The sequence below is a fragment of the Homo sapiens genome, chromosome 7 (assembly GCF_000001405.40).
Source record: "Homo sapiens chromosome 7, GRCh38.p14 Primary Assembly".
Classification (NCBI taxonomy): Eukaryota; Metazoa; Chordata; class Mammalia; order Primates; family Hominidae; genus Homo; species Homo sapiens.
The window spans coordinates 7,148,095-7,175,716 of NC_000007.14; the positions used below are offsets into that span (position 1 = coordinate 7,148,095).

At 37.7% G+C, this 27,622-nt stretch overlaps 1 protein-coding gene across 2 annotated transcripts in view, besides 1 other annotated feature; it reads left to right on the top strand.

The window, feature by feature from the left end:
* Positions 695 to 1,172: a transcriptional cis regulatory region, noted in NCBI's record as "candidate enhancer chr7.924 targeted for multiplex CRISPR interference". NCBI's record gives its function as "positively regulates C1GALT1 gene expression with high confidence in K562 cells {active_cell/tissue: K562}" and the evidence as "EXISTENCE:mutant phenotype evidence [ECO:0000015][PMID:30612741]".
* C1GALT1 (core 1 synthase, glycoprotein-N-acetylgalactosamine 3-beta-galactosyltransferase 1) overlaps positions 9,283 to 27,622 on the top strand; it is a 91,240-nt gene continuing 72,900 nt past the window's right edge. For both annotated transcript variants that reach the window (XM_047420620.1, XM_047420623.1), the window contains exon 1: positions 9,283 to 9,332. The gene's annotated coding sequence lies outside the window, so the exon portion shown is untranslated. The remainder of the gene's footprint in view (positions 9,333 to 27,622) is intronic.

Consider the following 27,622-nt stretch of genomic DNA (forward strand, 5'->3'; position numbering starts at 1 on the left):
TCATGCATCTTCAGCCTCACTTATCTCACTGTTCTCCCAAAATACAGGATATAGGCCCCTCTGGGCCTTTGAACTTGTTACTCCCTCTGCTATAAATGCTTGTCCCTGAGATGGTCACATGTTTTTCTTTGTAACCTCTTTTAGGTTTTTCTTCAAATGTGCATTTCTCAGTGACCACCCTATTTAACATTACAGCTCCTGCTTGCAGCACTCTCTGCTTTTTTTTTTTTCTCCATTGCACTTATCACTATCTGACCTCGTGATTGTTTATGGTGTTACTCTCCCCACCCACCAAAATTTAAGCTTTATAAAGGAAGGAATTTTTGTTCTCCTGCTTCAAAGGTCTAACCCCAGATCAAAAGCCTGGCCTATACAGCTAATCTTCTGTATCTGTGGGTTCCACATCCATGAATTCTACCAACCATGATTAAAAATATTAAGGAAAAAGTTCAAAATAACAGTACAATAAAAATAATGTAAATATAGTATTATAATTATTTACATAGCATTTACATTGCACTAGGTATTACAAGTAATATAGAGATTATTTAAAATATACAGGAGGATGTATGAGGGTTACATGCAAATACTATGCCATTTTATATAAGGGTCTTGAGCATCTAGAAATTTTGGTATCCTGCAGTGGTTCTAGAACCAATCCCCCTCAAATACTGAGAAAAGACTGTATTAAGTACTCAAGAGATCTGCATTGCATGATTACCACAGCTGTCAGTAGTCTCTGGTGAGCATGAGTCTCCAGTGTGTTTGCTGGTGAGTAGGCTAGGGTGTGACAGGTCCTTAAGACAAGTGGAATTAAAGAACCTGACAAGAAAACATACAACTGCTCAGAATTCTCCTCCTGGAATGCCTGGGAGGTGAAGGAGACCAGAATGGCAGCCTGCCTGATGGGGTGACATCTCTCCACTCCCACAAGCAGCCTCAGGAACACAGGGCTGGGTAGGCCTCCTTATCTGGCCATCACATGGGGTATGAAGTAATACTCACTCACAAGAGTTCTTTTCATTGTACCCAGATCCTGACACTTCCTGGGCCTCATGCGAATCCCCAGGACCCCACCCCCTCTCCTTTAGACCCTTGGGCACAAAAAGTTCTCCCGTTTCTCCGAAAACAGAATTCCACTACCTTTGAGAAAGCTCCCAGAACTTAGAAAAGCCAGTTTATCCTACATGGAGGGTAAAAGGCTCTGGAATTAAGAAACTCTAAAGAACAAAGACCTTCTTTTATCCTATCTCAATACCTGTACTGTGTGTGTGTGTGCGTGCGTGTATGTGCGCACATGGGCGCAAATGCCTACCATTAGTCTCTTACAGTCACCAGCCCCTCCCTTCTGTAGCAGGTCACCACCTTGCTAATCCTGTTATTTGAATACTGGAGGAAATTGAAACAGTGCTAGAAGTCAAAATAAAATCATTGAATCCAGTTTTTAAATAAATAATAATGAGGGAAGATTTGTTTTTGACCAAGGGCCTATGAGATGATCAGGAAGCCATGTTTAATCAATCAAATTATATAGCTATATCACAGGAGTATATGGAGGCTTATGTGACAAATCTAGCAGGTTGGCTTCTTTTTTAAATATTTTAAAATTATTTTAACTGGCATTTTAAATTTTAAATTGGCATTGTAAATTTAAATTTTAAATTTTAAAATAAAAATTTTAATTTTTTCTTAGCAGGGATGGGGCCTTACTTTGTTACCCAGGCTGGTCTTGAACTCCTGGGCTCAAGTGATCCTCCTGCCTCAGCCTCCCAAAGGACTGGGGTTACTGGTATGAGCCACTCCTTCCAGCCTACATGTTGGTTTCTTAAACACAAAAGTTAGTTGAAGGCTACAAGATAAATGAGCTTTTTACTAACTAAAGAATCAATAATTTCTACTTTTATTTTTTGAGACAGAGTCTTGCTCTGTCACCCAAGCTGGAATACAGTGGCACGATCTCTGCTCACTGCAACCTCTGCCTCCCGGGTTCAAGTGATTCTTCTGCCTCAGCCTCCTGAGTAGCTGCAATTACAGGCGCATGCCACCATGCTGGGCTAATTTTTGTATTTTTAGTAGAGATGGGGTTTCACCATGTTGGTCAGGCTGGTCTCGAACTCCTGACCTCATGATCCACCCACCTTGGCCTCCCAAAGTGCTGGGATTACAGGTGTGAGCTACCATGCCCAGCCAATAATTTCTACTTTAAAAATATATATGCTAATTAAAATGCTCATTTTACTAAAATATATTTTTAATTGGCATTTCTTCTGAGAGAAATATGGAGACAGAAGTGCCATAAAGGGCAAAATGAATGGACTGAATTGCCTCAATCAGTAAAGGTGAAACTTGGCCCACCAAAAAACAAGGTCATCACCATTTACAGGTGCCTAATACAACTTAATTAAAGGTAATAAAACAAACTAATAGTTACGATAAGTAATAAAGCCGGAAAGTAAGCCAAGGTCAAGTACATGGAAACAAATGGTTCCAAGAAAAGCAATTGCCTGAGGAGTGGTAAAAAACAAGGTAACAGAGACTCACCTACATAATGGTGATATATTAGCTAGAAAATGATAATCTTTGCTATTCAAATGTGGCTGGAAAAGAAATTTGAAATCACTGTCATGCATATTTCTGTTGCAATCTTTGATCTGCAATAATTCAAAGGAAGGAAAGAAAGGTATAAACCCATACAAATTTAAATATAGTTTTTTAAGGAACTGTATTTCCTTTGAATTATATTTAATAGTTCCTGAAGGAAGGAAAGGTGTAAATTTAAGCATATTCAAATTTAAATACATAAAACATAAGTTAAAACTAACATTGAGGGGTATTTATGCCACACATATCCATTATGCTATTAATATTTCATCATCAACAAACCCTGCTGAGATGGGCATTATCTTATCCATTTTACTACTAATAAAATTGCCTCACAGAGAGATCTTGTAACAGATTCAAGTTACAAAACCAGCAATCACTAGTATGGGATTTGAACCCAGGTCTGTATAACTCCAAAACCCTTGTTTATTCTACTTAATGACCCAGCCTCTTTTCTGATCCTAATTAAACAAGTCCTGATAAGTGAAATGCAGGCAATGATTGTGGAAGCCAGAATGCAGGGTAGAACAGGACTGAACTTTGGGCTGCAGAGCCAAAAGCCAAAGATATTTAATGACAAAAACAACAATAATTATATATATATACATATATACACATATATATACATGTATATATACATATTTTATATATGTATATATATGTGTGTGTGTGTATATATATATACACACATACAGCATATGTATATACATACAGTGGCTGGTAGCCACTGAACCAGAATACAAAGCCAAGAAGACAGTCCAAAAATCTGTCAAAAAGATGTTAACCAGTGTTCCAAGAGGAAGTGGGCCGTCACTGGACACTCTCCCTTTCAAAAAAAAACCCCTGAAAAAAAGGGTGGGGTTTTTAACACCAAGAGAAATAGAGTGGTATAAACGGAAAAGCCAATCACCTGTAAGTGGGTGAAATTTGACAGTGACGAAAGCTATTATATAAATACCCAAGGGAAGTCAGGATATGGGATAAATGGGGCATTTATATCTCTTTCATGAGATAATAGTAATGATAATAATATCAACAACCATAGGAGCAACAGAGCTAACACTTATTGAAACTTCTCAACAACTATGTTAAGCACTTTGCAAACATTACATAATTTGATCACAATATCCCCCCAAGGTATATGTTCTTAAGGAGGCCTGCAGAGGAATTTGGCCCCAGAACTCTCAACTGCTACATTATAGATTCCAATTTCCTAAAGAAATAACCTACCCTCATTAGGGAAATTTTCTGCTTTTAACATAATTTTTGTCTCCTCCCCTCCCCTCCCCCACTACCCCCCTCACTTCCTCTCCCCTCCCCTACACTTCCCTTCCCATCTTTTTAAAGAGACGGTCTCACTCTGTTGCCCAGGCTGGAGTGCAGTGGTGTGGTCTGGCTAATTTTTTGATTTTTAACTTTTTTATAGAGAAAGACCTCACTATGTTACCCAGACTGGTCTCAAACTCCTGGCCCCAAACAGTCCTCTCACCTTGGCCTCCCAAAGGGATGGGGTTACAGGTATGAGCCACTGTACACTATACCTGGCCTGTATTTCTTTTCTTTTCTTTCTTTTTGAGACAGTCTTGCTGTGTCACCCAGGCTGGCGTGCAATGGCATGATCTCGGCTCACTGCAACCTCCGCCTCCCGGGTTCAAGCGACTCTCCTGCCTCAGCCTATCAAGTAGCTGGGATTACAGGCACCTGCCACCATGCCTGGCTAATTTTTGTATTTTTTAGTAAAGATGGGGTTTCACCTTGTTGGTCAGGCTCGTCTCGCATGCCTGAACTCAGGTGATCCACCCGCCTAGGCCTCCCAAAGTGCTGGGATTATACGCGTGAGCCACCGCGCCTGGCCACCTGGCCTCTATAATACTCTAGTCTTATTATGCAAAGATTTATTATTTCAAAATTCTTTTCTTTCCCTCAACTATTTAAAAGTATAAGAACTGGCTGGACATGGTGACTCTCTCCTCCTCTCTCATATTTTCCCACTTCTTCCCCCACAAAGGGAAAACCCTATCAGATAACACTGCCTCCAGGTTTAAACAGGTACCAAGGAGATACAAGTGATCATCTTGGCAAGCTTAAAATTTATGTCAACCAAATATAATGGGAAAACATAAATTAAGGACACATAAAAGCTAAACTATTTATAAATGACATTGAATGAATTGAAATCATGAAATGCTCAGGAAAATAAAATATAAGGTAATATTAAAATTTACATTTTCATTGATATAAAATTCATTTTAAAGTTTGTGTGTATGTGATTTAGTTCTATATTTATTGAAAATGAAGGATGATTATGATATATTTAGAGAAAAAGACTGCAAAAGAATATGACCATATGATTCTATTTTTGTTTTAAACATGAGTGTGCATTTGTTCAAAGAATAAAAATGTCTTAAAAGGTAACAACAAAAATATGTATAACATAGTAGTTATCTCTGAGCGACAGGATTATAAATAAAGATTTTTTTCTAACTTTTCCAGAGTAAACATAAATTGTTTTTGTAAATTTTAATACTTAATGAAACAAATCATGGCCTGGCACTCAAGAAACATTTTACTCTGAGATAGGGAGCAGGATTTATTTATTCGGGGGCCAGAGAGGGGAGTGAGTAACAATACTTAACGGTTATATTTTGCTGGTTACCAAGTTTTGTTTTTCTGTTTGTTTGTTTTTGCGATCTTTTTGAAATGGAGTCTCGCTCTGTTGTCCAGGCTGGAGTGCAGTGGCACGACCTCAGCTCACTGCAATATCTGCCTCCCAGGTTCAAGCAATTCTCATGCCTCAGCCTCCCAAGTAGGTGGAATTACAGGTGTGTGCCACCATGCCTGGCTAATTTTTGTATTTCTAGTAGAGATGGAGTTTCACCATGTTAGCCAGGCTGCTTTTGAACTCCTGACCTCAAGTGACCCACCTATCTTGGCCTCCCAAAGTGCTAGGATTACAGGTGTGAGCCACCGAGCTCAGTCAGCCAGTGACCAAATTTTTAAAGAGATCCTCACTAAGCATCAGAAAATTCTGGATCCATTTTCTGGCTCTGCCATGGGCCATCTGGGCATGTTGGACAAGTCACGCTGAGACACAGTTTACCTATCTAAAATGTGAAGGTGTAAATGTACTTAATCTAGAATTTCTTTCCCAGAACTAATATTCATTGACTTCACATTCCTAGTTCTGTGGTAACCAGTAACATGGTGATATGGTTTGGCTGTGTCTCAGATGGAGATAAGGAACTTGTGAACCTCTGCCTAGATTTCAGAAGATATATGGAAATGCCTGGATGCCCAGGCAAAAGTTTTCTGCAAAGGCGGGGCCCTCATGGAGAACCTCTGCTAGGGCAGTGCAGAAGAGAAATGTGGGGTTGGAGCCCCCACACAGAGTCCCTACTGGGGAACTGCCTAGTGGAGCAATGAGAAGAGGACCATTGTCTTCCAGACCCCAGAATGGTAGATCTACCCAACAGCTTGCACTGTGCACCTGGAAAAGCCACAGAAACTCAATGCCAGACCGTGAAAGCAGCCAGGAGGGAGGCTGTACCCTGCAAAGCCACAGGAGTGGAGCTGCCCAAGACCATGGGAACCTACCTTTTGCATCAGCATGACCTGGATGTGAGAGATGAAGTCAAAGGAGATCATTTTGGGGCTTTAAAATTTGACTGCCCTACTGGATTTCAGACTTGCGTGGGCCCTGTAACCACTTTGTTTTGGCCAATATCTCCCAGTTGGAATGGCTGTATTTACTCAATACCTGTACCTCCACTGCATCTAGGAAGTAACTAGTTTGCTTTTGATTTTACAGGCTTACAAGCAGAAGGGACTTGCCTTATCTCAGATGAGACTTTGGACTGTGGACTTTTGGGTCAATGCTGAAACAAGCTAAGACTTTGGGGGACTGTTGGAAGGCATGATTGGTGTTGAAATGTGAGGACATGAGATTTGGAGGGGCCAGGGGCAGAATGACATGGTTTGGCTGTGTCCCCACCCAAATCTCAACTTGAATTGTACCTCCCAGAATTCCTGTGTGTTGTGGGAGGGACCCAAAAGGAGGTAGTTGAATCACAGAGGCCAGTCTTTCCCGTGCTATTCTCGTGATACTGAATAAGTCTCATGAGATCTAATGGGTTTATCAGAGGCTTCCGCTTTTGACTCTTCCTCATTTTCTCTTGCTGCTGCCATGTAAGAAGTGCCTTCCTCCTCCCGCCATGATTTTGAGGCCTCCCTAGCCATGTGGAACTGTAAGTCCACCTAAATTTCTTTTTCTTCCCAGTCTCAGGGAAGCAGTGTGAAAATGGACTAATACACATGGGTAGATCTTTTCTTTTCCTTCCCAGGTATTAATTAATTTATTAATTAGTTTATTCCTCCATCCATGCATTCATACATCTATCTCTTTGATCGAATAATATTTATTGGCAAGCTATTACGTGTCTAGAACTTAGCTGAAGCATTTCCTGTGATTTTTTGGTTGAAGCTTGTTTTCTCTGTATATTTCTTAGGGAATAATATTCATTCAGTTCTTGTATGCTCACAATTGCTTTATTTTTCCGTAGCTTTTATATTTTAACGTAAGTTTGGGTATGCATAAAAATTTCTTTTTTTTTTTTTTTTTGAGACAGAGTCTCGCACTGTTGCCTGGTCTGGAGTGCAATGGCACGATCTCAGCTTACTGCAACCTCCGCCTCCCGGGTTCATGCTATTCTCCTGCCTCAGCCTCCCTAGTAGCTGGGATTACAGGCACGCACCACCACACCTGGCTAATTTTTGTATTTTTAGTAGAGATGGGTTTTCACTATGTTGGCCAGACTGATCTCAAACTCCTGACCTCGTGATCTGCCCTCCCTTGGCCTCCCAAAGTGTTGGGATTACAGGCATGAGCCACTGCACCCAGCCTACTTTTTTCTTTTTAATAAATATATTGCTCCATGGACTTATGAAATCTGATGTAAATATGATTTTATTTATGATTTTATTTTTGATGACTTGGTCTTTATGCCTGAATGTTCAAAGAGTTTTTTTATTTTCCAGTTATACTGGAATATGTCTTGGTATTGGCCATTCTGGCTCCACTTTTCCAAGGTTAATGGTGTGCTCTTTCAAAATAGGTGTTCAGTTTTTTTATAATTTTAAGAACGTCTTGTTGTATTATGGATTTTTGTATTTCCTTTGTTCCGTTGCTTTCATTTTCCTTCCAACATAAGTTACACTTATGTTGGATTTTCGTTTCCTGTCTTCTATATTTATCATTTTTCTCTCGGATCCTTTCTATTTCTTTCTTTCTGTTTTCTTTTCCTCCTTTGTAAATTGTATTTCCCAAGTCTTGTTTCTGAAAATAGTGAACTAGGTTGTTTTAGAACAATTTGAAGGTATTGAAAAACCACTCATGTAGTGAGGACTTATGGGGCCAGGATCCAGAAGAAAAGGGAACCCCAGAGAGCTGAGCCTGACATGTGCCATTGCTTTTAGTCTTGAGGCATTTGCCTATTTGAGAACAATGGCTGAAAGGATGAGAATTTGAACAAAACTTTCAATAGACTCAAGGAGTTGAGGGGAAAATTGGAGTTCTGAGCTGCACAAGGAGGATGAGATCTAAAATAAAACAAAAACCGAAACACGAAAACACTAGGCTTTCAATTGGGACCACAAGAGACCACATTTTATGAAAAAGGATAAATTGGAAATGGACCAGTGACTCAACTCCAGTTCTGAATTATATCAGTCCCCAATTCATGTTTAGCCATCTCGTCTCTGAGTTTCCTGGTTCTAATATATGCTGTTACTTTATAGTTTCCATTATTTTCTTAATTTGCTTCCATTAATTTTGTTATATTATTTAGTTTTCATTTTTTTAAATTATGTCTTTTCTGGTACATATTAACTACCCATTTTTTCATTATTTAGTTTATTTTCTTTATAATAGTGTACTTGTTTTGTGTTCGACCATCTCCTTTCTGTTGCTTTTGTATAAACAAAATCAGGTGTTCTGTACTTTTAGGAAATGCCTCCCTTGAAGGGAAATGGGATATGCTATGATAGCCTTTATAGTTTCAGTGCTTAAGAGATTCCTCCCCTATTATTATCACATAGCAGACAGATTAAGATACACATGTAGACGTGGATGGCCTTTGTGTCGTCACACCCACTTCCAGAGATGTGCCTTCTCTGGAGACCCACCTGACCTCCCAGTGTTTGATCTTTTTCTCTCAACAAACAACAAAGGCATTGTAAGGTCGTCAAAATATTGGATTTACTCTCAGAGTTTCTATCCTGCTCAATTTGAATTTTCTTCACGGAAGTGTTTTCCTCAGGAAAGATATTTTATTGGCTATTTCTGAGTTATTTGAGTACATAAGCCACCCAGTACCTTCTGATCTTCCCATTTTCTCTTAGTGTGTGGCTGAGATATTTTTATTCTACTCAGCCATAAATTGGAGTCAGAAGCCTTCTCCTTTTTACTGTTATTTTCACAATATTTACTTGCTGAGAATCCCACTCAAGGTAAGACCTTCTCTTTTTGAGTATTTGTGGACAATTTCTGTATTGCAGTGTTCGCAGAACCTTCTAAACTCTTGTTCTCTCCTGTCCACTGCCTCTGCACAGCTGCTAAAACTAGGCATGCTCTGTATGAGTTCTACTGCTGTTGTCTGTGGTTTGGGTGGGGCAAAACCCACTGGCATTCTGAGGCTCATGGGGATGTTTTTTCAGTTGGCTTTCTGGAGGATGTGGTGAGTAGAACTTATCTTTTGCTATTCTAGTTGGTTCAGTATGCTTTTAGGAATGGATTTGGGGAAATTAAGAAACTGTACACCATAACCTTGCCCTGACTTGAAGTCAAGATGGGTTTATTTTTAAATCATGAATCTATCAATCAAGGCACTGATTCCGTGTTGCTCTACTGTCTTGACTGGCTTCTAAGATTATATTTATTTCAATATAGTTTCTGTTCAACTTAGTTAGGTGTCTATTAGCTTCCCTAAAGATACTCTTTTGAAGTATAATCAACCTCTATCTCACAGTTGCCAACATTCTTATATTGCTTTCATTTTCTTTACCACCAAACTTCAAATTTCAGTTTCTTCATTAGCTAGCCTCAGTAAGGGTATGTACATGTACATTCTGAACAATTCCTTCAATCAATGAGATCTCTTTTCCTTTAAAATCAGACTTTATTTGAGAACTGTCTTTTTGCTAAAATTGCTGTATTTTCCTCCCAGGCATGTTTCAAATTGTTCTTTATATTTCAGGAACCTCAGTCAGAATGCCTCCTTTAATGTTCAGATAACTTGCTAAATCAAAAGTAGTTTCCTCAAGTTGCTGTTGCATTAACTTAGCAGTACATTCCTTTCACATGAAAATTGGTGTATTCAAGCCTGTTACCCTCACATGACCACAGCTGAAATATTTCTCTGATGAATACAGTAAAATTACTATATCCCTCTGAAGTTTTGTAGAGTCCACTCTAGTCTTTAGAACCTGTTAGAATGTCCCTTCCTTTCTGCTAAAGAAAAGAAATTAAATGGGAGGTTAGGGTGGGGTTAGGAAGAGTGGTCTCTAGTCTCCAGTGATCTACTGCAGGGCTCTATACCTGACTCTGTTCTGTCTAATTCAATCAGCATTCCAGTATTCCATTAACACCTCCTATGTGCTGAGTTTTATGTTGAATAGAAAGGAAAAATAAGTCTCCAAGAAGGCATTGGAGTTTGATGTGGACTCAAATTCTGATTCTACTGTTCACTAGCACGTGGCCCGAGTCAGCTGTTTGATCTCTCTGAGTCTTAATTTCCATATCTGAGTATAACGATTCCTATATAACATAGCTATTGTAAACACTTAGTATGTTTTTTCATTATATTTTACATATTATATACACATACATTTTTATATATTTATATATTATATAAACATTTGTATAAATGTACAGGTATATACACATGTATCTATTTATATATGTATGCATGTATATGTATATATACATATATATTTCATCTATAATTTTATAAAAGCTGTATCATGTAGGACTCATATACGCATATATGACATGTAATAGGTGGTCAAATAAGTGTTTGTTCCTTTTGGATAATGTTATGACCTACTTGTAATTAGATAACATTTCTTTCCCTTTTTGCCTACCCAAACACACAAAATGGCTGTTAGACGGCCTATTGATTTTCTTAATGAATTAAAATTAACTGTGTTTTAAGGCATTCTATCTCAAACTGTGTGACATTTGTGAAATATATTGAGACAACGAGCAGGGTTCTTGATCTGAGGGCGGTCATAAACTATTAAGGGGTTCAGGGAGTTTTTGAATCTTCTGAAATTATATGCAAATAGGGCATGTTTGTGACTTATGCATTTTTGGAGTGAAGCAATTCATTGCTATCACCAGATTTTTAATGGGACTTAGAAACAGGAAAAAAAAGTCAAGAATCATGAAGGTGTTATAAAATCACAGCTGGGACTCAAATGATTGTATGCTTTTGGAGGTCAGAAACTGTCTATGTAATTTTCTTTTTACAATGCTTGGCACAGAGCCAGAAAGAGTTAAGTACTTAATTTTTATTTTTGAACGACTGTAATATTGACCACCTTTTCTCTACTAGGAGGGTCAGATATAAAAAGTAGAACTAAAAAATAAAAAGGAAGAGATTGGAAAGACGCGGGACAAATACCAAGAGCAGTAAAAGACTAGGAAGCAAAGAAAAAGAAGGAAAGAAAGAAAACAGGAAGAGGAGGGGGAGGAGGAAATAGAGTGGAACAGAAATAGAAATGCAAAGCGGAAGAGAAAGAGAAAGGAAAGAAAGTGGTGTGTTGGACTGCGCTGATTTGTTTCCTTCCTTCTTGTCCCCTTTCCCCAATAATCTCTTCAAGGCAAAAGGTTCCCCAGAGGCTCAATAGAAACAGGACTCTTACAGACTAAATGAAGGTGTATGAATTCTAATTTTCGCTTAATTTGATAGTAATGCCTTTGGAAAGTCACTATTTTTACACGTAGATTTTCTTTATCTGCAATCTTTAGATAATGTTAGCAAAGTTAAAAAAATTCTCTGTCTCCATGTAAGCTATATTCAAAAAATTCATTTTAATGTGATTCAATTCAAAGAGGGCATTTTCCTATAGAAACACTGTTACACAGAGTATCACTACAGTTCATAAAAACATACTTAACATGTAATGGAAGAAAAGGGAACTGGCCTTTCAGCTATCAGCTCCGAGCTTGGTAAACTGGAGCACAGCATCTCTTTTCATTTCCTTTCTCACATCCTAGGGAGCTTTGCACCAATCCATGTTCATAAATTGAGGGATATGTCTGCACTTCAAAGATCAATGGCAGCAACACTGTGAACGGCTGTTCATACATAAGTAAAACTAGTTAAATTTCCTGATTCTTACTCTTTCCCTCAGCTCTTTCCTGCCCCACATGTGTGTCCTTCTTGTCCCTAGTACCTTTCCACATTTTATATTGGGTACACGTTCCAATAGCCTCATGGAACTAGAGATCTGTTTCTTCTCAACTCTGGAAAATTCTTTCTATTCCATTTCTGCATATGACCTTTACCTTCCATCTAGATCTTTTTGGTCTTCAACTGTATAGAGTGTTATTTCTCTCTTGAACCTCCACCTTCTACCTCCAACCCCTAATCCCTGCCATTTGACTAATCAGGTATATCCTTGACAAAAGTCTGATGTACAAGGGGACAGATAATGTTACCTTGATTGACAGTGTTCTAATACATATATTAAGCAGTTGATGTAGAACAGGCGGGAAGACAAAATGTTACCCTGTTTCTCATGAGAAAGGAGGCTACACTGCTCTTCTTAGGAAGTAGGAAGATAGATGCAGAGACAGATATTTAGAAGGGGAGGAAAATAAAAATTGTCTATGTGTCTGCTAACCTAAATCCATTCAGTAAAAGAGAAGTCAAGTTCAGTTCAAGACAGAAGTAAGGTTGGTTCCAAAGGATGGACACATACATGCAACTCATTCCTGGGTACACAAAAGATGAAATAGAGGGCGTGTGTCGAAGTACATGTCCAAAGGTATGAAGTAGCTGCAGGAATTTTATCAGAGAAACCAGTCCCCAGGACTAATGTTAACAGATGACAGAGGGAAAGCTGTCTGAATTATTTGCCAGTAGACTACTGGTCAAGAGGACTTGGAACTATAGCTGAAAAAAACCTTAGAACTATACACACAAACACAGTACTAATCAGCAGAAGTAATGAGTATTGAGAGAAAACAATGAGCCATAATTTACAATCAACTTAAATAGAATTTATGCAACTGAAATCTAAGACAGAATAATAGGCAGTAACTTCCAGTTTATAATAATGACTACTTGTGTAGTCATTACTACACAAAATTACTGACTACTTGTGTACTGACATGTATTTTGCACAATGATATGACAGACTAAGACAAACTGAATAGTTTGCAAGTAAACTACTTGTCAAGAGGACTTGGAACCATAGCTCTATTGACATGTAACCATCCTTACCAAAGACAGACTCAAATTCTCAGAAACGTTTGCTTCTATTTTGGGGAGATCATCCAAATCTATAAACTTGTGAGGCTTTAACAGTGGGAAAAAAAACCTTACAACTCACTTAGTCTAACTTCTTTACTTTAAAGGTAATTGCCCCTTGGATGAAAATCACTAACATTTTAGTATAAACATATTTACAGTGAATAACTTTACATTTGCTAGCCAAAATTTGTTGCCAAGGGACTAAAAAATGTGGCAATAAATGAAGTACTTGTTAAAAAGATACTTAGTTTTAAAATTTTTGTCAGTCCACTTTTTATTATAAGAGTTGCTGATAAAAATAACTACCATTTATTGAATACTTACTACATGTTAGACCCTTTGCAAACATCCTCCCCTTTAACCAGCACAACCACTAGAAAAGACAGGCATCATCATCTTCCTTTTACAAAGTTGAGGACCATGAGGCTCAGAAAATAGTAGATAGTAGTTAGTAAATAGTAGAGCCAGGATTAAAATACATGTTTTCTAATACTTCATACTCTATCAGATTGTGTCACAATGGTATTAAAAAAATTAGAAATATAGGAAAACATGAATACTTTCCATATTTTCTATGGTAGGTGCTATTTCAAGTATCCTTAAAATATGTGTGCAAGTGCAGAAGATTCTATTGAAGTTTACCTTAAGGCAAAGACAGTCATAAAGAGGTCAGAAAGAGGGCTGACTTACTGAAAGTACTTCAAAATTCTACTCTCTCATTAAATGTGAACAGTTCAAAAACTTTAGCAATTGTCATTGATCAGCATGGTGAAATGATTATGGCCTCATTTGTGAACAGGCCTGATAGGTTGCACTGGATTTATCTTTCTTCATTTCTTTTTTTTTTTCTTTTTTTTTATTAGCTATTTTTCTTTTTTTAAATTTTATTTTATTATTATTATTCTTTAAGTTTTAGGGTACATGTGCACAATGTGCAGGTTAGTTACATATGTATACATGTGCCATGCTGGTGTGCTGCACCCATTAACTTGTCATGTAGCATTAGGTATATCTCCTAATGCTATCCCTCCCCCCTCCCCCCACCCCACAACAGTCCCCAGAGTGTGATGTTCCCTTTCCTGTGTCCATGTGTTCTCATTGTTCAATTCCCATCTATGAGTGAGAACATGTGGTGTTTGGTTTTTTGTCCTTGCGATAGTTTACTGAGAATGATGATTTCCAATTTCATCCATGTCCCTACAAAGGACATGAACTCATCATTTTTTATGGCTGCATGGTATTCCATGGTGTATATGTGCCACATTTTCTTAATCCAGTCTATCATTGTTGGACATTTGGGTTGGTTCCAAGTCTTTGCTATTGTGAATAGTGCCACAATAAACATACATGTGCATGTGTCTTTATAGCAGCATGATTTATAGTCTTTTGGGTATATACCCAGTAATGGGATGGCTGGGTCAAATGGTATTTCTAGTTCTAGATCCCTGAGGAATCGCCACACTGACTTCCACAATGGTTGAACTAGTTTACAGTCCCACCAACAGTGTAAAAGTGTTCCTATTTCTCCACATCCTCTCCGGAACCTGTTGTTTCCTGACTTTTTAATGATTGCCATTCTAACTGGTGTGAGATGGTATCTCATTGTGGTTTTGATTTGCATTTCTCTGATGGCCAGCGATGGTGAGCATTTTTTCATGTGTTTTTTGGCTGCATAAATGTCTTCTTTTGAGAAGTGTCTGTTCATGTCCTTCGCCCACTTTTTGATGGGGTTGTTTGTTTTTTCTTGTAAATTTGTTTGAGTTCATTGCAGATTCTGGATATTAGCCCTTTGTCAGATGAGTAGGTTGTGAAAATTTTCTCCCATTCTGTAGGTTGCCTGTTCACTCTGATGATAGTTTCTTTTGCTGTGCAGAAGCTCTTTAGTTTAATTAGATCCCATTTGTCAATTTTGGCTTCTGTTGCCATTGCTTTTGGTGTTTTAGACATGAAGTCCTTGCCCGTTCCTATGTCCTGAATGGTAATGCCTAGCTTTTCTTCTAGGGTTTTTATGGTTTTAGGTCTAACGTTTAAGTCTTTAATCCATCTTGAATTAATTTTTGTATAAAGTATTGATGGGATGTATCTCAAAATAATAAGAGCTATCTATGACAAACCCACAGCCAATATCATACTCAATGGGCAAAAACTGGAAGCATTCCCTTTGAAAACTGGCACAAGACAGGGATGCCCTCTCTCACCACTCCTATTCAACATATTGTTGGAAGTTCTGGCCAGGGCAATTAGGCAGGAGAAGGAAATAAAGGGTATTCAATTAGGAAAAGGGGAAGTCAAATTGTTCCTGTTTGCAGATGACATGATTGTATATCTAGAAAACCCCATTGTCTCAGCCCAAAATCTCCTTAAGCTGATAAGCAACTTCAGCAAAGTCTCAGGATACAAAATCCATGTACAAAAATCACAAGCATTCTTATACACCAATAACAGACAAACAGAGAGCCAAACCATGAGTGAACTCTCATTCACAATTGCTTCAAAGAGAATAAAATACCTAGGAATCCAACTTACAAGGGACGTGAAGGACCTCCTCAAGGAGAACTACAAACCACTGCTCAAGGAAATAAAAGAGGATACAAACAAATGGAAGAACATTCCATGCTCATGGGTAGGAAGAATCAATATCGTGAAAATGGCCATACTGCCCAAGGTAATTTATAGATTCAATGCCATCCCCATCAAGCTACCAATGACTTTCTTCACAGAATTGGAAAAAACTACTTTAAAGTTCATATGGAACCAAAAAAGAGCCCGCATCGCCAAGTCAATCCTAAGCCAAAAGAACTAAGCTGGAGGCATCATGCTACCTGACTTCAAACTATACTACAAGGCTACAGTGACCAAAACAGCATGGTACTGGTACCAGAACAGAGATATAGATCAATGGAACAGAACAGAGCCCTCAGAAATAACACCGTATATCTACAACTATCTGATCTTTGACAAACCTGAGAAAAACAAGCAATGGGGAAAGGATTCCCTATTTAATAAATGGTGCTGGGGAAACTGGCTAGCCATATGTAGAAAGCTGAAACTGGATCCCTTCCTTACACCTTTCTTCATTTCTCATGTGGAACATTAATGTTAACGGGTCTATGATGTATGAAGAGCTAACTCTAAGTAAGCAGAAGTAAGTCAAATTCTATAACCTATTGATCTGAGATACCTAAAAAGGAGCTTGGATTTCAGGAGGATTGGGATACAGCTCTCCTCTTGCTTTACATTTTGCCATAGGCTGGGTTTTCCAGAAAACAGACTCTGAAATGGAGATCAGCATGTAGAAAGTTTATTAGGGAAGACTTTTAAGATCAGCACCTGTGCATGGAAAGAGACAGAAGCAGGATTGGACAGTGGGAAAAGTTGAGCTGTGATATAGTCTTAAAGTCCTCAGTCAACCCGACGAGGAACTCTGAAGGTGGAATGGCCCTAAAGAGTATCACAGGTCAGGGAAGGAAAGCTCTATTTTTAATACCCCTATGTTGATCAGTCATTGGATGTGGGTGCCTGAGGGGGCATGGCTTTAAGTTGTTTGCACCTGAGGCAGTTCCCTGAGAGGGCTGTAAGCTGAAGGTCATCTGCTGGCAGCACTCCCAATAGTTGTGGAAATAAATCTTTCTGTCCTGAAGGAGGAACAGGGCAAACCATTACAGTGTTCACCTTGGGTTTGCTGCCTTTGATTGCATGTAAATATTATTTTGTATTATTTAAGATGTGTAGGGTGAGTAAAATGCCCTAGAAACCCTAGGAAAGATTAACCTTGCCTGTCAACTTTATTCATTTATGTGTTTCTTTTAGATTTGAAAGCCTCAGAGAAGGACCAAACAGTGCCTGAGAAGTTTGAATTTAGAATAAAAGGTTGGTCTGGCATTTTTATGTGAACAGAACTAGAAACCACAGTAGCCAGGAAGAGAAGATGGCCAGATAACTGAAAGACAGAAGGCAGGTTAGGAAGGAGCTCAGGCCAGGTTGTGCCCACCCATCTGTGTTAGAAGATGGTGATCCTTGTGCAAGCAGATATGGAACTAAATAAAGCCCCTTTACTCACTGTGGTGGGATTATGTGGAATAAAGCACGCATCTAGGAGCCTTGACTATTTTTCCATTGCTTCCTTTTACATAATTATACCCATTTAATTTATCCTTTAATTTTTGTGAATGCATCACTCTATTTCAGTTACGCTAAGGGAATAAGAAAAAAATTGTGTCCATATTTGGATTAAAGAGAAAAGACAAACATCATATCCATGGGGTGCAGATGAGACAGGTGTAGGAGAAATCAAAGTGAGAAAGATTAAGAGGACGTTTCAGTGTAGGAAGCTCTAGATGCAAGAATTCAAAGCTTTCAAGACAGGAAGAAAGAGTCCAGAAAGGCATGTACTGCTATATCTTTTCTCATTTCCTTCTCCGATATGTTCCCTTTCAGGAGAAAAAAAAATGAATAGTTGTAAGCACCAATTTATGATCACATGGTACCAGTTGAGCATCTGTAATCCAAAAACCCAAAATCTGAAATGGTCTAAAATCCAAAGCTTTTTGAGCATCAACATGATGCTACGAGTGGAAAATTCCACACCTAATGTTATGTGATGAGTCACAGTCAAAATAGAAAAACTCATTTCATGCACAAAATTTTTGAAAATATTGTATAAAATTACCATCAGGTTATGTGTATAAGGTGCATATGAAACATACATTTCATGTTTAGACTTGGGTCCCATCCCAGAGATATTTCATTATGTATATGCAAATATTCCAAAAGTTCAAAAACTCTGAAGTCCAAAATACTTCTGGTCCCAGGCACTTGAGATAAGGGACACCTGTACCAGGCGTGTTCACGTTCTCTCATTTACTGATAACAACCATGTGAAAAAAACGTATATTACTGCCATTTTATCATGAGAAAAACCAAGACTCAGGGAGAATAATTAGGTTTCCTAAGCCCACACAATAAGTGATGGAACTGGGAAGAGAGTGTAGCACAGGTTTAGGGTGAGAAACAATTGGATTAAATGTCCTTCAGTATTTGAATGAATACAAAAATTGTGGTATATTCTTATAATAGAATATTACTGAACAATAAAAAGTAATAAACTATTGATAAACATAACAATATGGTTTAATTTCAAAGTAACAATGCCAGTGAATAAAACCAGATATGAAAAAGCACATAATGTATGATATCATTTTTATAACTCTAGAAAATGCAAACTAATCTCTATTGACAGAAAGCAGATCAGTGGTTGCTTGGAGATGGGGCAGGGTGGGAAGTGGCAGGAGGAAACTTTTGGAGGTGATAGATACATTCATTATCTTGACTGCGGTGATAGTTTCATGGGTGTATACATATGTCACAACATCAAATTATGCACTTTATGTATACTTATTGAATGTCAATTATACCTCAATAAAGCAGTTAAAAACAACCGGGTTGAAATCCGTGTTATACTATTTACAAATTGCTTAATCTCTAAGACTACATTTTTTAAAAATCAGTTAAATGGAGTTGCTAATGCCTACCACAGAGGGTTGGTGTAAACATTAAATCAGTAAGGCAAGTGCTTAGCACACTGTGTAATACAATAGTAAGCATGCCGCAGTAGTTATACAAGGAGTCCTAGACTGAGTTCTTCCTTCTTAGAGCTTTCTCCACTTTAACTAATCATGTTAGTCCTTTTTATTTACAGCTGGAATTCAAACACATCAATCTTACTTCAAAGACCAAGATCTTTCCACTAAACTGTGCTAAGCCATGACAAATTTTATGATTTGAATTGAGGAGGGCATGCCCTGATTGGACACCAGGCTCAGAGTATTCCACATAAATGCTCCTCTGTATTACCCCAGGGTCTGGAAAAGTCACTCTGGGCCAGGGAGGAAGACCAGTGGTTCAGCTGCATATTCTTTACCTATACTCCTTCAGATTCTATCTCTGCTCCTTTTTCAGATCCCTACTGGCTAAACAGCAATGAAATTGCTTATGCAGTGTACAGATAAATTGAGAGCAACAGGTCCTGTTTCTCAGGAGTTTGCCCCGAATGGCAATCCAAACTAGACATAATATTGGGAGAACAGCATTCATTGAGATTAACTGACTTACTCTTTATGAAACATTTGCTTTCCTGGATAAAATAGTGTATTAAGAATGTTATACATTATGTATTAAAAATGTTATACTGCACATTACACATCACATATTTAAACTACATGTAAATTTATAAAATATATAAACAATGATAAATCTCCCATGTTTATTTTCTAAAGAATACTGTTAAGAGTAATACATCTTTAATATGTCCAATCAAGATGCCATTTCATGGAATTATGTAAGTTTTTTTTGTTGTTCATTTTTTTTTTCTCCAAGTGATAATCATTGAGAGGGTCTTTTCAAGCAGAATCTGTGGTATGCTGACATCTTATAAGATTGTCCTTGGACATTCCAATTCACCAAAATTTGGACCCCCTGATACTACAGCTCTTTTCTTGGCCTACTACCCCCAGGCCTCTTCTCACAGCGCCCAGTCCCTTATTCTCCTGAGACTGTTGTTTCTCCTCTTTTCTCACCCTCTCTTTTCCTACTCCTATGAAGCAGCAAAAACATTCTCCTAGACTCAGAATGAGCAGCTTAGTCCTTGTCTCTGAAGGCTTGGTTAGCTTCGGCCTTATGGAATCCTAAGAATCTTACCTTCTACTCCATTTTTTTCAAGGTTTTAAATTTTCTTTCAAAGAAAGACACTGTTCTTTCTTAGAGAAATTCTGATGCCATCTATAAAGAAGCATGTTCTCCACATTTCACAGGGGAATGAACAAATTCATGAATAGGTAAGTAGAGATGGTGAATGCAGACTGCTGTTTCAAAAAACCTAGTGATAATGCAAAGGAAAGAAGTGTGCAGCAGTTGTAGAGGGTGGTAAGGTAATGGGATATAGAAGTCAGGGGCATGACAGAAATTGGAAATTTAGAAAAGATGCAGGTTAGTTGCTGAGGCAAGTGCTGAAGAGGAGGGAGGGGCTGGTCTCCAAAGCAGAGTACGGCTGGAAGGCCAGCCTAGAGCAGGAGGAGACAACACTTCAGAAGCTGCTACTGAGGGAAGTTTGCAGGTAGAAGAGAAGGAGTTGAGGTATATTATCTTAAAAAATACCACCTGGTGAGAATAAAAGTGAAGGAAATAAAGGAGTGTGAATATTGATTCAAGTAACTTTCATGGGAAATGGGAAAGAGAACTAATTGGAAAAGTAAAAGGAAAGCCGTCAGGCCCCAGCTGAGACAACAAACCTAATAGGTATAGCAGAGAGATTACTTCCAGCAATCTTCTCCTATTTTTCCTGTTAATGATAACTCTTAACAGTTACCATTTTCGTGGTTACAAAATATTTCATCAACTAGGTGTATGATAATCTATCAAGATTACTCAGTTCCTTTTCAAATGAACTAAAATGTGGTATTTTTAAAAAGACAACTAAGCATACTTTAATTACCTGTAAGAATATTGTCTACCTACAAATAATTAAAGTCTCTAAAAAAGGAAGCAATACATTTGCCTTTTCTGCCAACATTATTCCTGTCTTCAGCAAAACACCGTAATTTAAAAATATACACCGAATCATTTCTTTTTTTATTATGATAACATATACACAACACAAAGTATGACATTTTAACCATTTTAAGGGTACAGTTCAGTGGCATTAATTGCATACATGCTATTGTGCAAACACCACCACTATCTGTTAATGAAGCTTTTCCAGCACCCAAAACAAATTCAATAACCATTAAGCAATAACACTCCCTTATCCCCTCCACCTTTAACCTATTTTCTGTCTCTATAAATTTGCCTCTTCTAGATATTTCATATAAGTGGAATTATACAATACTTTGTCATTTCTCTGGCTTATTTCACTTAGTATAATGTTTTCAAGGCTCATCCATGTAGTAGCATATATCAAAACTTGATTTTTTTCATGGCTGAATAATATCCCACTGTATGTGTATAAAATATTTTGTTTATCCATTTCTTGGTTGATGAACACTTGGGTTGTTTCCACCTTTTGGCTATTATGAAGAAGGTCACAACAAACGTTCATGTACAAATATCTCTTGAGTCTCTGTTTTCAGTTATTTGGGGTGTATATCTCAGAGCCAAACTGCTGGGTTGTATGGTCATTCTATGGTTAGCCTTTTGAAAAACTGCCATGCTGGTTTCCACAGTGGTTGCACCATTTTACATTCCCACCAGTAATGTGCAAATGTTCCAATTTCTCCACATCCTTGTCAACACTTGTTATTTTCTGTTTGGATATTTTGTTTTTTTTTTTCTTAATCTTACAGCTATCCTAGTAAGTGTGAAATGGTACATCATTGTTGTTTTGATTTGCATTACCCTAATAACTAAGGATGTTGAACATCTTTTCATGTGCTTATTAGCCATTTGTACATTTTTTTGAGAAGTGTCTATGCAAGTCTTTTGTCCATTTTTAAATCGTGTTGTTTGTCTTTTAAGTATGTTGTTGGATTCAGTTTGCTAGTGCTTTGTTGAAGATTTTTGCTTCAATATTCAGAAGGGATATTGGTGTGCACTTTTTTGTGATGTCTTTATCTGACTTTGGTATCAGGGTAATGCTGACCTCACAGAAAAAGTTAGAAAGTGTTCTTTCCTCTTCTATTTTCTGAAAGAGTTTGAGAAGAATTGGTGTTAATTCTTCTTGAAATATTTGGCAAAGTTCACCAGTGAAGCTATCTGGTCCTGGACTTTTCTTTGTTGGGAGGTTTTTGATCACTGGTTCAATCTCTGGCCTTGTTGTAGGTCTAGTGAAATTTTCTATTTCATCTTGAGTAAGTTTAGTTAATTTGTGTGTTTATCCATTTCATCTAGATTATCCAGAGCTGGCAGTAATGCCCCTATTCTCATTTTAAATTTTAATCATTTGTGTCTTTCTTTTTTCTTTTGTCAGTTTAGCTAAAGGTTTGTCAATTTGATTACTTTTTTTACAGAGCCAAATTTTGGTTTTACTGATTCTCTCTATTGTTTATTCTGTTTTATTGATCTCTGCTCTAATCTTTCTTTCCTTCCATTGTCTAGTTTTGGGTTTGGTTTGCTCTTCCTTTTCTAGTTTCTCAAGGGATAAAGTTAGGCCATTGGTTATCTTTTGTCTTTTTTAATGTAGGAATTTATAGTTATAAGTTTGCCTCTGAGCACTGTTTTTGCTGCATCTGATGTTTTAATATATGTGTTTTAGTTTTCATTATTAAACATCTTATGTTAGGCTGGGCATAGTGGCTCATGCCTGTAATCCCAGCACTTTGGGAGGCCGAGGCGGGCAGATCACCTGAGGTCAGGAGTTTGAGACCAGCCTGGCCAACATGGTGAAACCCCATCTCTACTAAAAATATGAAAATTAGCCAGGCATGGTGGCAGGCATCTGTGATCCCACTTACTCAGGAAGCTGAGGAAGAGAATCACTTGAACCCAGGAGGCAGAGGTTGCAGTGAGCCAAGATCATGCCACTGCACTCCAGCCTGGGTGACAGAGCAGGAGTCCGTCTCCAAACAAACAAACAAAAACATCTTATGTTTTAATATGTGTGTTTTCATTTTCATTATTTTCTAGTTTTTATTGTAGTTTCTTCTTTGACCAATGAGTGTTTGGTAGTGTGTAGTTTAATTTCCATATATTTGTGGATTTTGCAGTTCTCCTTTGATTTTGATTTGTAGCTTCATTCTACTTGGTCAGAAAAGATACTGTGTATGATTTCAACTTTTTAAAATTTATTCACTTGTTTTGTGGCTTAACATATCATCTATCCTGAAGAATCTTCCATGTGCCCTTGAGAAAAATATGTATTCTGCTGTTATTGGGTAAAATGTTCTATATACACATGTTAGGTCTAGTTGGCTTATTCAAGTCTTTTATTTTGTGACTTATCTTCTGTCTAGATATTCTATTCATTTTTGAAAGTAAGTATTGGAGTCTCCAACTATTATTGTACAACTATTTATCTGCCTTTAATTCTGTCAATATTTGCTTGAAACATTTTGGGTCTCTGTTGTTTGGTGCATGTATGTTTATAATTATGATAACTTTTTGATGATATATATATTTATCTATATATCAATATATAATGTCCTTCTTTGTCATTACAACAGATTTTGACTTGAAGTTTTTTGCCTAATATTAGTATAGCCTCCTTGGCTCTCTTTTGGTTACTATTTGGATGTAATATCTTTTCCATTCTTTCACTTTCTACCTATTTGTGTCGTTAAATCTAAAGTGAATCTCTTACAGACAGCATTTATCCATTCTGCCCATCTCTGCCTTTGAGTGAATAGTTTAATCCATTTATATCTAAAATAATTACTCATAATGAAGTATTTCTGCCATTTTGATACTTGTTTTCTGTATGTCATACTTTTTTCCTCTCTTATTTTCTCCATTATTGCCTTCTTTTATGTTTAGTTGATTTTTTTGTAGTGAACCATTTTGATTCGCTTCTCATTTCCTTTTGTATATATCTTTTAGATATTTTCTTTGTGGTTACCATAGCAATTACGTTTAATGCCCTAAATTTAAGGCAATATATTTTGCATTGATACCAACTTAACTTCAAAAACATTTAAAAACTATACTACTATACATCTTTATCTTCCCCCTTTATATTGTTAATGTCTTTTTACATCTTTAACATTGTGTCCCCAACAGGAGATTTATTATTTTTATATATGTGTTTGTTAAATCTTATTAAAAATAAAAGGTAGAGTTACAAACAAAAATTAAATAGTACTTGTTCTTATATTTGCCCTACCTTTACTGTAGGCCTTTATTTTCTTAACATGGCTTTGAATTGCTGGCTAGTGTCTTTTCATTTCAACTTGAAAGACTTCCTTTGCATTTCTTGTTGGAAGGAAACGTTGAACTCAACTTTTGTTTATCTGAATATATCCTAACTTTTCCATCATTTTGAAGGACAGTTTTGCTAGATATAAAATTTCAGTTAATAGGTTTCATTTTCTTTCACCCACTTAAATATGTCACTCCACTGTCTTCTGGCTTCCATGTTTTCTGATAAGAAACTGGCCTTTAATTTTAATGAGGATTCCTTATATGTGATGAGTTACTTTTTTCTTGTTTGCTGCTTTCAAGATTCTCTCTCTACCTCTGGCTTTTGATGGGTTGGTTAAAATATCTTAAGTGTGGGTCTTTTTGAGTTTATCCAGCTTGGAGTTCATTCAGTTTCTTGGATTTGTAGGTTACTATATTTAATAAAATTTTGGAAGTTTCTGGCTATAATTTTTCAAATATTATTTCTGCCCCTCTCTTTGTCATCTAAAACTCCCAAAACACATATGCTGGTCCTCTTGATGATGACGCACAGGTCCCTTCATCTCTGTAAACTCTAAAAAAAAAATTAACAGACTTTATTTTTAATGCCATTTTAGGTTTACAGTGAAATGCAGCAGAGTTACAGAGAATTCCCATATATTCCTTACTCTCACACAAATACAGCCTCCCCCACTATCAACATCTCACACCAGAGTGGTACATTTGTTACTATCAATGAACCAACAGTGACACATCATTATCAAGCAAAGTCCATAATTTACATTAGAGTTCACTCATGGTGTTATACATTCTGTAAGTTTTGACCAATGTATAATGAAATGTATCTACCATTATAGTATCATAAAGAATAGTTTCCCTGCCATAAAAGTCTCCTATGCTCCACCTATTCATCATTCCTTCCCCTCATCTGATTGGAATCATGCAGTCTGCAACCGTTCCAGATTAGCTTCTTTCACTTAGCAATATGCACTTAAGGTTTGATATAGTTTGGATATTTCTCTTTGCCTGAATCTCATGTTGAAATGTAATCCCCAATGTTGGAGGTGGGACCTGGTGGGAGCTGTTTGGACCATGGAAGCAGATCCTTCATGAATGGCCATCCCCTTGGTAATAAGTGAGTTCTTGCTCTGGTTCACATGAGATCTGGTCATTTAAAAGTGTGTGGCATCACCCCTCCACCTCTGTCTCTTGTTCCTGCTCTGGCCATGTGATGTGCTTGCTCTCCCTTCACCTTCTGCCATGATTGCAAGCTTCCTGAGGATTCCCTGGAAGCCAAGCAGAAGCCAGCATCATGCTTCCTGTAAAGACTGCAGAACCATGAGCCAGTTAAACCTCTTTTCTTTATAAATTACCCAGTCTTGGGTATTTCTCTATAGCAATGCAAGAATGGATTAACACAAGGTTCAACCATGTGTTTTTTTGGCCTGATAGCTTATGTCTTTTTAGCATTGAATAGTATTCCATTGTCTGTGTGTACCACAGTTTATTTATCCATTTACCTTGTATTAGTCTGTTTGGGCTGCTATAACAAAATAGTACAGACTGGACTGGGCACAATGGCTCATGCCTGTAATCCCAGCACTTTGGGAGGCCAAGGCAGCAGATTACTTAAGCTCAGGAGTTGAAGACCAGTCTGCGCAACATGGTGAAACCCTATTTCTATAAAAAATACAAAAAATTAGCTGGGCATGGTGGTGCATGCCTCTGGTCCCTGTTACTCGGGAGGCTGAGACAGGAGGATCACTTAAGCCTGGGCGGTGGAGGTTGCAGTGATCCTGCCGAGATCATGCCACTGCACTCCAACCTGGGTTCCAGAGCAAGACTCCATCTCAAATTTTTTTAAAATAGGAAAAAAATAATATAGATTGAGTGGCTTAAACAACAGAAATTTACTTTCTCACAGTTCTGGAGGCTGGAAATCCATGACAACAGTGCTGCCAAATTCACTTTCTGGTGAGGGTTCTTTTCCTGGCTTTATAGGCAGCCGTCTTTTTTTTTTATGTCCCCACACGGCCTTTCCTCGTGTATGCTGAGAGACAGAAAGAGAGAGTGCTCTGGTATCTCTTCTTGAGAACACTAATCTTACCAGATCAGGGCTCCACCCTTAACTTGCACTACTTCCTTAGAGACCCCATCTCCAAATACAGCCACACTAGGTGTTAGGGCTTCAGCATAGGAATTCTGAAGGGTACATAAAAGCGCATCTTGGTTACTTTCAAGTTCTGGCAATTATTAATAAAGCTGCTGTAAACATTCAAATGCAGGTTTTTGTGTGGACATAAGTTTCACCTGATCTGGGTAAATAACAACGAGCCCAACTGCTGGATTGCATAGTAAGAGTATATTTAGTTTTGTAAGAAAACTGCCTTTCAACATGCCTACACTGAACCAGGTGTGGTGGCCCATGCCTGTAATCCTAGCACTTTGGGAAGCTGAGGTGGGAGGATTACAAGCTCAGGAATTCAAGACCAGCCCGGGCAACATAGTGAGAACTCATCTCTAGTTAAAAAAGAAAAAAAAAAAGTAGCTATACCATTTGCATTCCAACAACAAATGAAAATTTCTTCATTCTTTTTCCTTTCTGCTCCTCAGCCTCAGTAATTTCAGTGGTCTTATCTTCAAGTTCACTGACTCTTCTGCTTGCTCAGTTCTGTTGCTGAAGCCACTTAGATTTTTTTATTTTTATTTTTCAGCTTCAGAATTTCTGTTTGGTTCCTTTTCATAACTACTATCTCTTTGTTGATATTCTCATCTTGTTCATACATCATTTTCCTGGCTTCCTTTAGTTCACTGTCAATGTTTTCATTTCCATGTTTAGCATTTTGAGCATATTTAAGACAATTGTTTTAAAGTTTTTGTTTAGTAATTCCAATGTCTGGACTTCCTCAGGGACAGTTTCTATCCATTTATTTTGTTCCTTTGAATGAGCCATACTTTCTTGTTTCTTTGTATGCTTTGTGATTTTTGTGTGTGAGCTTGAAAAGTGGACATTTGGCTCCTATGATGTGGTAACTAGAAATTAGATTTTCTTCACTTTCCTAGGGGGGTTTGCTGTTTTCTGGTTCTTGAAGGCTGTAGCAGTCAGTTTATTTGATGCCTGTCTCAAACTATTATTTCAAAGACTGTATTCCTTGTCAATATGGTCATGGAAGACTCTGTCCCTTAGCCTGTGTTCAGCTAGTGTTTTGGCAGATTTCCTCGAATGCCAGAAGCTCTCACAGTCTTTGCAAAGTGGCTCTAAGCCAGGGCTCTACTTCAATTCTTAGTTAGCCTTGCACTGTGCTAAGGGATCAGCCCAAAATGAAAGCTTAGGGTTTTCTCAGGTGTTTTCTAAGCAAGTGTTTTGCCCTGGGCATGTGCATGGCTTTCTAAATTCCCACGTATATATGGTTGCTTTTGAATATTTTAATTTCCCAAAGAAACTCTCTCCAGATTTTGCCTTAGGCAGTCTATTGCATGTTTCAACTGTAATCTCTGCCTCCAGGTGTCTAGGGTTATTACTTCAGTTTGCTGTGTTTTCCAGCTTTTTCTGCCCTAGGTTCTGAGTTAGCAAAACAGAGGAGAGGATCTTGCATCAATCCTTCAGGTAGCCCCTTGTATTAGTCTGCTTGGGCTACTGTAACAAAATACCACAAACTGAA